This window comes from Homo sapiens, chromosome 18 (genome assembly GCF_000001405.40).
Source record: "Homo sapiens chromosome 18, GRCh38.p14 Primary Assembly".
Taxonomy (NCBI): domain Eukaryota; kingdom Metazoa; phylum Chordata; class Mammalia; order Primates; family Hominidae; genus Homo; species Homo sapiens.
In genome coordinates, this window is record NC_000018.10 from 5,217,273 (window position 1) to 5,231,553 (window position 14,281).

A 14,281-nucleotide genomic window follows, 5' to 3' on the forward strand; every position below is an offset into this window, starting at 1 on the left:
CTATGCCCAGATTTTTCAGGGCCAACATGGATACATTGTCAACCTATCTACATGCCAATAAGTTTCTAATTTATTTTTCCACTGAAGAACTCTTCTCTGAGCAACAAACTTTTAAATCTAATTGCCTACTCACTACGCACACATGGATTCATTAATTCATTCATTTAGCAAATATTGAATACTTATGATGGGTCAAGTACTGTTCTAAGGGCTGGTGATACAAAGTAAACATAACATAAAAATCTCCTGCCCACATAGAGTTTACAGTCAAGTTGGGGAGAGATCAACAAAAACATAAATACATAAAAATATATTTTTCACCGTGATGAATGGTATGGAGAAAAAGTGGAGGAAGGGAATAGAGTGTGTTGGAAGGAAGTCTGAGACTTTAAGTAAGATTCAGATAAGGCTTCATTGAGAAGGCAAAATTTGAAAAAAAGACCTAAAAATGGTGGAGAAGAAATCAGAATGGACACCTGAGCAGAGGGAACAAAAAGGGCAAAGTTTTTCAAGTGACCATGCTTCTTCTGACCAAAAGAGGCTTTGCCTATTGCCTTTGTGGAAATCACCCGTCTTCTCCCTTCCACCTGGCTAGTGCCTTCACATCCTTCAAATCTCAACTTAAGTGTCTTTTTCTCAGGACCATTTATCTGACTCTACAGAGAAGTGTGATCCCTCATCATATGCTATCTTAATTTTAATTTTCTCTTAGTGTGCAGTATCTGGATCATGAGCTCCCATGTAGCACCAACTATATCTTTTTTCTATTCATCACTACATTTCTAGTGCCTAGGACAACCTTGGCATATAATTAGAAATCATAAGTATATTTTCATAAACAAGTGATGGTGTCATTTACATGTGTATGTCCAGTGCTTTCTTTCCTCAGAAGCATCTTGCTGCATCTTAAGCCAACCATTCTCAGTAATTGTATCTCTTGTATTCTAAGACCTATTTTACTCAATTTGGTAATAATTTATTCAGCATGTGCCATGTTCCAGACATAGGGGATTTAGAAATTAATAGGCATAATCTTCATCTTTAACTTTTATATAATCTAATATGGCAAACAGATATGTTCACAAAAAAACTATAATCTGCTCATTCAATGCTTGCTGGACACTTACTGAGGGCTTATTAAGTGCCTAGATTTCTAGGCCCTAGAAATATAGCAGTGAATTACCCTTTGTGGAGTTTCTAACCTGGTGAAATGTGCTATACATTTATTCTGAAGGCATGAAATGACAGTAAGAAAGAAGCAATTAACTCTTCTTCTAGGCGATAGGGACCGTTGAGAAAGACATGATACAAGCAACAAGTAGATGCTCCCCATGTAGAACTCTGGGACCTACAATTTGAGTACCTTTGATGCCTTACCACAGAGTTTTATCCTGAGGCTACTGAAGCATGTTTAAGCATTAGAGTGACATCATTAGTTAGGTATTATGAAAGACAGTGTTGGCAACACAATCAAGAGTGTCATTTTGAAAACTATTCCAAAGTCTGAGGAAGAAATGATCAAGGTCCAGAACAGAATAGCAGCAATAAGGTTATAAAGTAAGAAATATAGGTTAACTTATCAAATTTAATGGCTTAAAAAAGGAAAACTCAAAGATGAGAAGAGTTTTTTATAAAAAACTTTTATTTTCAGTTCAGGGATACTTGTGCAGATTTGTTACATGGGTAAACTTCTGTCGTGGGGATTTGTTGTACAGATCATTTCATCACCTGGGTATTAAACCTAGTACCCATTAGCTATTTTTCCTGATCCTCTCCCTCCTCCCACCCTCCACTCTCCAGTAGGCCCCAGTGTGTATTTTTCCCCTCTATGTGTCCATGTGTTCGATGAGAATGTTTTTAATTTGAAAGATAAGATGAGTTACGGAAGATATTGTTGTATTCCCAACCAACCCATTCCTTCTGACTTCTGTGCACACAGATAGATTACATATCCCAGCCTCCCTTACAGTTAGGTGTGGCAATGTGACTGAATTACAGTCAAGGGAATGTGAGCAAAAATGATGAGCACCACTTCCAGTCTTCATCAATAAAAATCTCCCCCACTCTATCTTCCATTCTCTTCCCCTGTCAGCAAGATGTCAGTGCACACAGTGATGAAAGAAGAGCTTCTGTTACCCTGGATCCCTGAAAGCAGAGCCCATATCCCGGTCTTATTGACTGGACTTCACGTTTGTAAGAAACAAACATCTACCGTGTTGAGCCACTAAGTCTTGGGGATTTACCCAGAAGCTAGGGTTAACTTAACTAATATGATGTGGTGAGACTAACTAAGATTGAGATTCAGAGCAGAAGCTGATGTGGAGGTAAAGAGTTCAACCTAGGCCATATTTAGTTTAAGATTCTTTGAACACACCCATGTATTTACAAATAGTAGTCCACAGTACAAGCAAAGATTTGGAAGTTATTGAAATATAAATGACTGAAGCCCTGGTCCTGATTAAAATTATATAGGGAGAGGGTATAGAGGAAGAAGAGATAAAGCCCTGGAATGGGGAATAGCAACACTTAAAGAAAGGCAGGGAAAAAAAAAGACAGGTCAAATGGTAAAAGAAGACTTTCTCAAAAACTTTCATGGTTAGTATTTTATATAATAAACCACAGTGTTGGTCTTGGAATTCTGTCTAATGACCACTCATCTTTGTTAAACTGACAGTCACATAAGCCATATTACTGCCTCCCTCTGCTTTATAAAACTTTGAATTCAATAAACTCATTAATGCTTCCCACAATGAAAGCTCTAAAATTCAACACAATCATCCTTACCACCTAAAATGCCAAAATTCATCTAGATGTTGTATGAAATTTTAAAACCTACCAGTGGCTCCTGATAAATTCTCTGACATTTTATGATCTCTTTGGTAAAGACATGGTTTTACCTGTATAATCAACCTACTTTTTTTATTCCTTCCAAAGTTGTTTTCATGTGCATTATTCATTTAATGCCCCTAGTAAATCCACATGGTTGGTGAACATAATAGGGGCTTGAGACATACTGACAAACTATCAAAAAGGGCTAATACATTAGTATTGGGCCCACATCAAAACAAAGCAAAATCCATGAGGCAGGAGAACTGTCTCCCAAAGACATCTTCAAGGAAAAGATACTCATTTTAAAATGTTACTTCAATCCCAGAGGTCATCCATTCATCAAGTCTCTGTAGTTTGTAAGTCTCACAAGTCTTTTTAATGTGACATCAAGGGACATGTTACATCCTGACTCACAATTCGAGTCACTATAAATAATCCCCCAAACAGAGTGAGCAACTGATAAAAGATGCATTCTGAACAAAAACAACTATTTATTTGACAGTTGCACCATCTTTTGTCACAATCGCTTTTAGCAAGTTTCAAATATATTTTGAATAACTAACTCCTCACAGATGGGGTATATTATGAATTTACATGCCTAAAAAAGTAACTATTTTAAAATCTTCCTGATATAAATTATTTTCTAAAATAATCATGAGTTAAAAACCGACATTCAGATGAGTTCTCATAAATTTCCACTTTTGTTTATGCCTTCTCTCTTTCTAATATCTTCAAATACTATTCATTTTATTTTTACATGATTAATTTTACGTGTCAACTTGGCAAGACTATGATGACCAGTTGTATGGTCAAACGCTATTCAATGGGTTGCTATAAAGGTTTTCTTTAAATGTGATTAACATTTATAATCACTTTAAGTAAAGCAAATTACCCTCCATAATATGGGAGGGTCTCATCCAATCAGTTAAAAACAATGAGCAAGACAAGCTTTCCAAAGAAAAATTCTTGTCCTAGACTGCAACATGGAAATTCTGCCCTAATTTTCAGACTTCAAACTCAGGTCTGCAACTTCAACTGTTACTGGAATCTCCACCCTCCCAGCTTGTCCAGTAGCTTCTCAGTCCCTATGATCACAAAAATATCCCATCCCTTCCCCTTCCCCTCCCCCATCTCTCTCTCTCTCTCTCGTGTGTGTGTGTGTGTGTGTGTGTGTGTGTGTGTGTGTGTGTGTGTGTCCTATTGGTTTGGTTTTTCTGGAGAACCTAACACATTCCTTTCATATTCATTTCTAAATTTTCTTCAATCAAGAGTATATTTCATGGATGTATATCTATAGGAAGATATCTTTCAAGTAGTTCCTACCCAGCAAAAAAAAAATGCTTATAACTAATGTGAACTGGGACCATAATTTTTGTGCATGTATGTGTGGTTCTACTACCTTTCCAAGATGTTTTTAAAGGCTTATGACAAAAAATTTTTGAATACTAGTACACTATTGCCTTGGACAATAACGAGGTTGTAGTAAAGCAAGTTAAATTTATTAAAAGAGATGTATGTTACAAAACCTATCGGATATAGCAAACGCAATGCTCAGAGGAAAATTTATAGCAGTAAATGCCTATGTTACAAAAGAAGAAAGGTCTCAAATCAATAACTTAACTTCACACCTCGTATTCATCTGCTAATACCACCATAACAAAATACCACAGACTGGGTATCTTAAATAATAGAAATTAATTTTCTCACAGTTCTGGAGGCCAGAGGTCCAAGATCAAGGTGCCATCAGAGTTGGTTTCTGATAAGGCTTTTCTTCCTGGCTTGCAGACAGCTGTCTTCTCACTGTGCTCTCACATGGCCTTTCCTTTGTGCATGCATGCACAGAGAGCAAGAGAGTGCTCTGATGTCTCTCCTTCTTATAAGGACACCAATCCTATCATACGAGGGCCCCACCCTTATTACTTCATTTAACCTTGACTGTCTCTCTAATGAATTTATCCTCAAATACAGTCACACTGGGGATTAGCACTTCAACATATGAATGGGGGAGCATAATTTAGTTCAGAATACATACTCAAACATTTTTTATAAGGAGACCAAATTAAAACCAAAAATAGCAGAGAGAAATATAAAGATTACAGCAGAGATAAATTAAAGAGATAATATAAAAACAACAGAGAATAAATGAAACCAAATGTTTTTTCCCAGAAAAAAATCAACAAGATTGACAAACATTAGCTACACTGAGAAAGAAATCAAGAAGAAGATGCAAATAACTAAAGTCAGAAATGAAAATGGAGACATTACTACCAACCTTACAAAAATAAAAATGATTAGAAAAGAATATTATGAATAATTATACATCAACAAATTAGATAACCTGGATGAAATGAATAAATTCCTAGAAACATACAAATTATCAAAACTGACTCCAGAAGGAATATAAAATCGGAGCAGACTTATAGCAAGTAAAGAAACTGAATTGGTGATTTAAGAAGCAAAATAAAGCAAAATACAACCTCCCAAAAAGTCCAGGACCAGATGGCTGCATTGGTGAATTCTACTAAATATTTAAAGAATTAATACCAATCCTTCTCAAATTCTTCCAAAAAATAGAACAGGAGGGAACACTCCCTAACTCATTCTATGAGGCCAGTATTACCCTAATATTAAAATCTGACAAAGATACGAAAAGAAGAAAACTACAGATCAATGTCCCTTCTAAATACAGATATAAAAATTCTCAACAAAATCCTAACTGAATCCAGCAGCATATTAAAAAGATTATACATCATGTCAAAGTGGGATTTATCCCAAGAATGCAAGGGTGGTTCAACAAATGAAAATGAATGTAATATACCATCTTAATGGAATGAAGGAACAAAATCACATGATCATCTTAATTGATGCAGGAAAAGCATTTGACAAGATTAACCACTTTTATGATTTTTAAACAACCAAACAATAAACAAGGAATAGAAACTTCCTCAAGCTGATAAAAGGCATATATGAAAAAATCCATAGCTATCATCATATTTGGTGGTGAACAACTAAAGTTTCCATGCAAGTATCAAGAACAAGATAAAGATGCTGCTTTCACCACTTCTACTCAACACTGTACTAGAAGTTCCAGCCAGAAAAATGAGGCAAGAAAAATAAATTAAAAAATACAAACTGAAAAGAAAGATGTAAAACTATCTGTATTTGCAGATGGTCCAAAAATCCCCCTCCCCCCAAAAAAGCCACTACAGTTAATCAATTTAGCAAAGTTGCAGGGTACAAGATCAACATGCAAAAATCAGTTGTATCTTATACACCAGCAACGCACAATTTGAAAAGCAAATCCAAACAAAATAAGGGGGAAATTTACATTTACCATGGCAAACAAAACAATAAAAAACCTAGGAATAAATTTAATCAAGGATATGGTACACTGAAAACTATAAAACATTATTGAAAAAATTAAAGACTATCTAAATAAATGGAAAGCCATACGATGTTCTGAATTGGAAACCTTAATATTGTTCAAATGATGTCCCAAATTGATCTACACATTTATTCTAATCCTGATCGAAATTCCAGTGGTCTTTTATGCATAAATGGAAAAGCCAATCCTCTAATTCATGTGGAATTATGAAGGAACCCAAATAGCCAAAACACTGTTATTTATTTATTTATTTAGAGACAGAGTCTCGCTCTGTCACCCAGGCTGGAGTGCAGTGGTGCGATCTCAGCTCACTGCAACCTCCGCCTCTCAGGTGCAAGTGATTCTCCTGCCTCAGCCTCCTGAGTAGCTGGGATTACAGGCATGTGCCACCATGCTCAGCTAATTTTTGTATATTAATAGAGACAGGGTTTCACCATTATGGCCAGGCTGGTCTTGAACTCCTAATCTCAGGTGATCCATCTGTCTCAGCTTCCCAAAGTGCTGGGATTACAGGCATGAGCCACCATGCCTAGCCCAAAACAATGTTTTTGTTTGTTTGTTTAAAAAGAAAACAGAAGACTCACACTTTCTCACTTGAAAAGTTACTACAAAGTTACAGTAATCAAAATAGTGTGATACTGACATATAAACAGACATATAGATAAATGGAATAGAATTGAGAGTCAGGAAATAACCTATGGCCAATTGGTTTCTGACAAGTGTGCTAAGACTATCCAATGGGAGAAAGGATAGTCTCTTCACCAGTGATGCTGAGGCAACTGCAAATCCACATGCAAAAGAATGAAGTTGAACTCTTTCTTCATTCTATATTCAAAAATTAACTCAAATGAATCAACAACCTAGGTACAAGAGCTAAAACCATAAAACACTTAGAAGAAAACAGGAGTAAATTTTCATGATGCTGGATTTGGCAAGGGATGCTTAGTTATGACACCAAAAGCATGACCAACAAAAGAAAATAGATAAATTGGTCATCATCAAAATTAAAAACTTCTGTGCAAAAGGCATTATCAAGAAAGTGAAAACACAACCTGCAGAATGCTAGCAAATATTTTCAAACCATTTATCTAACAAGGGTGTAGAATCCAGAACATATGAAGAACACTTACAACTCAACAACAAAAAGACAAACAACCCAATTTTAAAAATGGTCAAAGGATCTAAGTAGATATGTTTCCAAAGAAGATACATAAATTGCCAACAAGCACATACATGAAAAGATGCTTAACGTCATTAGTTATTAGGGAAATGCAAATGCAAATCAAAACCATATGATGTACTACTCAACACCTAATAGGATGGCTAATTTTTTTTTAAATGGAAAATAACAAGTGTTGGGGAGGATGTGGAGAAGTTGAAACCCTTGTACATTGCTGGTGGAAGTGTAAAATGGTTCAGCCACTGGGAAAAACAGTTTGGTAGTTCTTCAAAAAGTTAAACATAGATTTACCATACAACCTAGCAATTTTCCTACTAGGTATCTACTCAAAAGACCTGAAAACAGGTACTCAAGCAAGTATAAGTACACACATGTTCCTACCAGCACTATTGACAATAATCAAAAGGTGGAAACACCCTAAAGTTCCACCAATAGAAGAATGGAATAACATATTGTGATATATACCTACAATGGAATATCAACCATAAAAAGGAAAGATGTACTGATACGTACTGCAATATGTGAACCCTAAAAACACGCTAAATGAAAGAAGGCAGATACTAAAGTTTACCTATTATATAATTCCATTTATAAGAAATATCCAGAAAAGGAAAATCCATACAGACACAACATAAATTAGTGGTTACCAGGGACAGGGAGAAGAATTGGGTGCAAATGGTATCAGTACAGGGTTTCCTTTTGGGGTGATGAAAATGCACAATATTGCGAATGTACTAAATGCCACTAATTGTTCACTTTAAGATGGTTAATCTTATGTAAATTTCACCTGAAATATTAAAAATTATACACAAAACAAAAGATCCTTAAAATAATACCCCTATATAGATTGTTAGCTTCCAGGAGGATTATTCAAATGCTACATTTCTAAAGTGTTAGAATTTCTCCCCTGGAAGACTTTAAACTAAGGTAATAATGCTTTTTAACATTCTTGAGCCCTTCTTATGTATCTGAAATTATATTAAAAGTTTTATATACATTATTTCCTTAATAATATCCATCATTACCTTCAAAAACTGAGGTATGGGCCAGGCAGGGTGGCTCACACCTGTAATCCCAGGATTTTGGGAGGCCAAGGCTGGTGGATCACTTGAGGTCAGGAGTTTGAGACTAGCCTGGCCAACATGGCAAAACCCCGTCTCTACTAAATATACAAAAAAACAGCCTGGCGTGGTGGTGGGCACCTGTAGTCCCAGCTACTCAGGAGGCTGAGGCAGGAGAATCGCTTGAACCAGGGAGGCAGAGGTTGCAGTGAGCTGAGATGGCAGCACTGCACTCCATCCTGGGTAACAGAGCACGACCTTGTCTCAAAGAAAAGAAAAGAAAAGAGAATAGAAGAGAAGAGAAGAGAAGAAGAAAAGAGAAGAGAAGAGAAGAAAAGAAAAAAGAAAAGAAAAGAAAAGAAAAGAAAAGAAAAAAGAAAAGCATTGCATCTGTATCCTCTAATTAGAGGATGATAGCACTTGATTATGGCCATTTCTTAGTCAAGGGCAGGTCTTCTGTTTTTCTGAGTGATGACATGTGGTTTGAGTTATACATGGGCTATAGCTGAAATAGAAAATGCACACTAATCTTCATTTTGTTCTGTCAAACATTAAGATCTCTATTGTAGAGTGCTAATGCTTAAACATAATAATTAAAAAGAAAATGATCCCTTTTTCTCATCCATAACTATTATAAAATCTAACATTCAATAGATTGTTTTTATTATTTTTTTAATGTTTGTTGGGTCCAACCCCCTCCTAAGCTGGTGCAGAAAAGCAGGGCATCCCAGCCTGAAATCAATGAGGACCTGCACTCTTTCTCTCTGCTCCAGCTTTTGAGACTACATCTCAAAATAAAACAAAAAAACAAAACAAACAAACAAAAAACCTGAGGTATGACGAGATGAAGAGACTAAATTGCTCAAAGTCAAATAGGAGGTAAATGGACCTCAAATGAGCTTAGCTGTTAACTATGCTTTAGTTTAGCAACAGAATTAAACACACATTTAGTCAAAAAGAGTTTATTGAGTGCCTGTGGTGTTTATCAGTGTGGTACAGTTAACACTAATGAGACAAAAGATTTTTTGAAGCATATGAGGATATAAACACTAGTAATTGTTAAGTATGTGCCTTAAATTGTATTACAACAAATATGTTAGACATCAAAACTGTAATATCACAGATAGTATTACTTAGGGTAACGCTAAAGTAGATAAATAAGTTTTTAAATAAAGTTTATTTAAAGAAAAATAATAAAGATAACAATAGTTGGCATTATCAAACACTTATTTGCTATATAGTAATGTATATACTCATTTAATCAATATACTTATTTTGCATATACTCACTTATTTCATCAATTGTCAATGCAATACTTATATGTCAAAAATTATGAAGGTGCTATTTATATAACTAAAACATGGAAAACACTGGGGAAAAAAGATGAAAACCATTGTTTTTGGTTTTTTTTTCAATAGGTTTCTGGGGAACAGGTAGTGTTTGGTTACATAGATAAGTTCTTTAGTGGTAATTTCTGAGAATTTTGGCATACACATCACCTGAGCAGTGTACACTGTACTCAATATGTAGTCTTTTATCCCTGAACACCCCGGACCCTTTCCCCCCAAGTCCCCAAAGTCTAATGTATCATTCTTATGCTTTTGTGTCCTCATAGCTTAGCTCCCACATATGAGTGAGAACATAGGATGTTTGGTTTTGCATTCCTGAGTTACTTCATTTAGAATAATAGTCTCCAATTCCACCCAGGTTGCTGTGAATGCCATTATTTCGTTCTTTTTTATGGCTGAGCAGTATTCCATGGTATATCTATACCAGATTTTCTTTACCCACTCCATTGATTGATGGGCATTCGAGCTGCTTCCATATTTTTGCAATTGTGAATTGTGCTGCTATAAACATGCCTGTGCAAGTATGTTTTTTGTATAATGACTTTTTTTTTCCTTTGAGAAGATACCTAGTGATGGGATTACTGGATCAAATGGTAGGTCTACCTTTAGTTCTTTAAGGAATTGCCACACTGTTTTCCATAGTGGTTGTACTAGTTTACATTCCTACCAACAGTGTAAAAGTGTTCCCTTTTCACCGCATCCATGCCAACATCTATTATTTTTTTATTTTTTTATTATGGCCATTCTTGCAGGAGTGAGGTGGTATCATATTGTGGTTTTGATTTGCATTTCCCTGATAATTAGTGATGTTGAGTATTTTTCCATATGCTTCTTGGCCATTTGTATATCTTCTTTTGAAAATTGTCTATTCATGTCCCTAGCCCACTTTTTGATGGGATTCTTTGTTTGTTTTTTCTTGCTGATTTGAGTTCCTTGTAGATTCTGGATATTAGTCCTCTGTTGGATATATATAGATTGTGAAGATTTTCTCCCACTCTGTGGGTTGTCTGTTAACTCTGCTGATTAACGCTTTTGCTGTGCAGAAGCTTTTTAGTTTAATTTAGTCCCATCTAGTTTCTTTGGTTTTATTGCATTTGCTTTTGGGTTCTTGGTCATGAAGTCTTTGCCTAAGCCAAATGTGTAGAAGGGTTTTTCCAGTTGTTATCTTCTAGAATTTTTATGGTTTCAGGTCTTAGATTTAAGTCTTTGATCCATCCTGAGCTGAGTTTTGTATAAGGTGAGAGATGAGGATCCAGTTTCATTCTTCATTCTTCAACATGTGGCTAGCTAATTATCCCAGCACCATTTGTTGAATACGGTGTCCTTTCCCCACTTTATGTTTTTGTTTGCTTTGTCAGAAATCAGTTGGCTGTAAGTATTTGGCTTCATTTCTGGGTTCACTGTTCTGTTCCATTGCTCTATGTGCCTATTTTTATACCAGTACTATGCTGTTTTGGTGACTACAGACTTACAGTATTGTTTGAAGTTGGGTAATGTGATGCCTCCAGATTTGTTCTTTTTGCTTAGTCTTCCTTTGGCTATGCAGGCTTTTTTTTTTTTGGATCTGTATGAATGTTAGGATTGTTTTTTCTAGTTCTGTGAAGAATGATGTTGGTATTTTCATAGGAATGACATTGAATTTGTAGATTGTTTTTGGGAGTATGGTCATTTTCACAATATTGATTATACCCATCCATGAGCATGGGATGTGTTTCCATTTGGTTGTGTTGTCTATGATTTATTTCAGCAGTGTTTTGTAGTTTTCCTTGTAGAGGCCTTTCATTGTTTTGGTTAGGCATATTCCTAAGTTTTGTTTTGTTTTGTTTTGCAGCTATTGTGAAAGGGACTGAGTTCTTGATTTGATTCTCAGCTTGGTCACTGTTGGTGGATAGCAGAGCTGCTAATTTGTGTACATTAAATTTTTATCATGAAACTTTGCTGAATTCATTCACCAGCTCTACAAGCTTTTTGGATGGGTCTTTAAGGTTTTCTAGGTATACGATCATATAATCAACAAACAGTGACAGTCTGACTTCCTCTTTAGCAATTTTCCCTTTGTTTCTTTCTCCTGTCTGATTGCTCTGGCTAGGACTTCCAATACTATGTTGAATAGAAGTGGTGAAAGTGGGCATCCTTGACTTGTTGCAGTTCTCAGGAAGAATGCTTTCAACTTTTCCCCATTCAGTATAATGTTGGCTGTGGGTTTGTCATAGGTGGTTTTTATTACTTTAAGATATATCCCTTCTATGCTGATTTTGCTGAGGGTTTTAATCATAAAGTGATGCTGGATTTTGTCCAGTGCTTTTTCTGTGTCTATTGAGATGATCATGTGATTTTTGTTTTTAATTCTGTTTATATGATGTATCACATTTATTGACTTACATATCTTAAGCCATCCCTGCATCCCTGGTATGAAACTCACTTGATCATCGTGGATTATCTTTTTGATATGCTGTTGAATTTGGTTCACCAGTATTTTGTTGAGGATTTTTGCACCTATGTTCATCAGAGATAGTGGTCTGTAGTTTTCTTTCTTTTCGTATTAGGGTGATACTGGCTCATAGAACGGTTTTTGGTATGAGGGTGATACTGTTTCATAGAATGATTTAGGGGTGTTTTCCTCTTTCTCTATCTTTTGGAATATTGTCAGTAGGATTGGTACCAATTCTTCTTTGAATGTCTGATAGAATTCAGTTGTGAATCTGTCTGATCCTGGACTTTTTTGTTGTTGGCAATTTTTTTTATTACCATTTCAATCTTGCTGCTTGTTATTGGTCTGTTCAGAGGCTCTATATCTTCCTGTTTTAATCTAGGAGGGTTGTGTATTTCCAGGAATTTGTCCATCTTCTCTAGGTTTTCTAGTTTATGTGTGTATAAAGGTGTTCATAGCAGCCTTGAATAATCTTTTGTATTTTTGTGGTATCAGTAATAATATCTTCTGTTTCATTTCTAATTGAGCTTATTTGGATCTTCTCTCTTATTTTCTTGGTTAATCTCACTAGCGGTCTTATCAATTCTATTTATCTTTTCAAAGAACCACCTTTTCATTTCATTTATCTTTTGTAATTTTTTTTGTTTCAATTTCATTTAGTTCTGCTCTGATCTTTGTTATTTCTCTCCTGCTTCTAGGTTTGGGTATGGATTGTTCTTGTTTCTCCAGTTTTGTGAGGTGTGACCTTATATTGTCTAGTTGTCCTCTCTAGCCTTTTTGATGTAGGCATTTACTGCTATGAGCTTTTCTGCTAGCACCACTTTTGCTGTATCCCAGAGGTTTTGATAGGTTATGTCACCATTACCATTCACTGCAAAGAATTTTTAAATTTCAATCTTGATTTCATTGTTGACCCAATGATCATTCAGGAGCAGGTTACTTAATTTCCATGTATTTGCATGGTTTTGAGTGTTCCTTTTGGAGTTGATTTCCAATTTTATTCCACTGTGATCTGAGAGAGTACTTGATATAATTTCAATTTTCTTAAATTTACTGAGACTTGTTTTGTGGCCTATCATATTATCTACCTTGGAGAATGTTCCACGTGCTGATGAATAGAATGTATAGTCTGCAGTTGTTGGGTAGAATGTTCTCTAAATATCTGTTAAGTGCATTTGTTGTAGGGTATAGTTTAGGTCCATTGTTTCTTTGTTGACTTTCTGTCTTGAACACCTGTCCAGTGCTGTCAGTGGAGTATTAAAGTTGCCCACTATTATTGTGTTGCTGTCTATCTCATTTTTTAGGTCTAGTAGTAATTGTTTTATAAATTCAGGAGTTCCAGTGTTAGGTGCATATATATTTAGAATTGTGATATTTTTCTGTTGGACTAGTCCTCTTATCATTATATAATGTCCCTCTTTGTCTATCTTAACTGTTGTAGCTTTAAAGTTTGTTTTGTCTGATAGAAGAATAATTACTCTTGCTTGCTGCTTTTGGTGTCCATTTGCATGGGGTATCTTTTTCCATCCTTTTATCTTAAGTTTATGTGAGTCCTTTTGTGTTAGGTAAGTCTCCTGAAGACAGCAGAAACTTGGTTGGTTAATTCTTATCTGTTCTGCTATTCTGTGTCTTTTAAGTGGAGCATTTAGTCCATTTACATTCAACGTTAATATTGAGAGGTGAAGTACTATTCTGTCCATCATGCTACTTGTTGCCCGAATACCTTGGGGTTTTTTCATCATGTTATTGTTATATAGATCCTATGAGATTTATGCTTTAAGGAGCTTATATTTTGGTGTATTCCAAAGATTTGTTTCAAGATTTAGATCTCCTTTTAGCAGTTCTTGTAGTGCTGGCTTGGTAGTGGTGAATTCTGTCAGCATTTGTTTGTCTGTAAAAGACTGTATCTTTCCTTCATTTATGAAGCTTAGTTTCACTGGATACAAAATTCTTGGCTAATTGTTTTAAGGAATCTAAAAATACGTACCCAATCCCCTCTAGCTTGTAGGTTTTCTGCTGAGGAATCTGCTTAATCTTAATTTGATA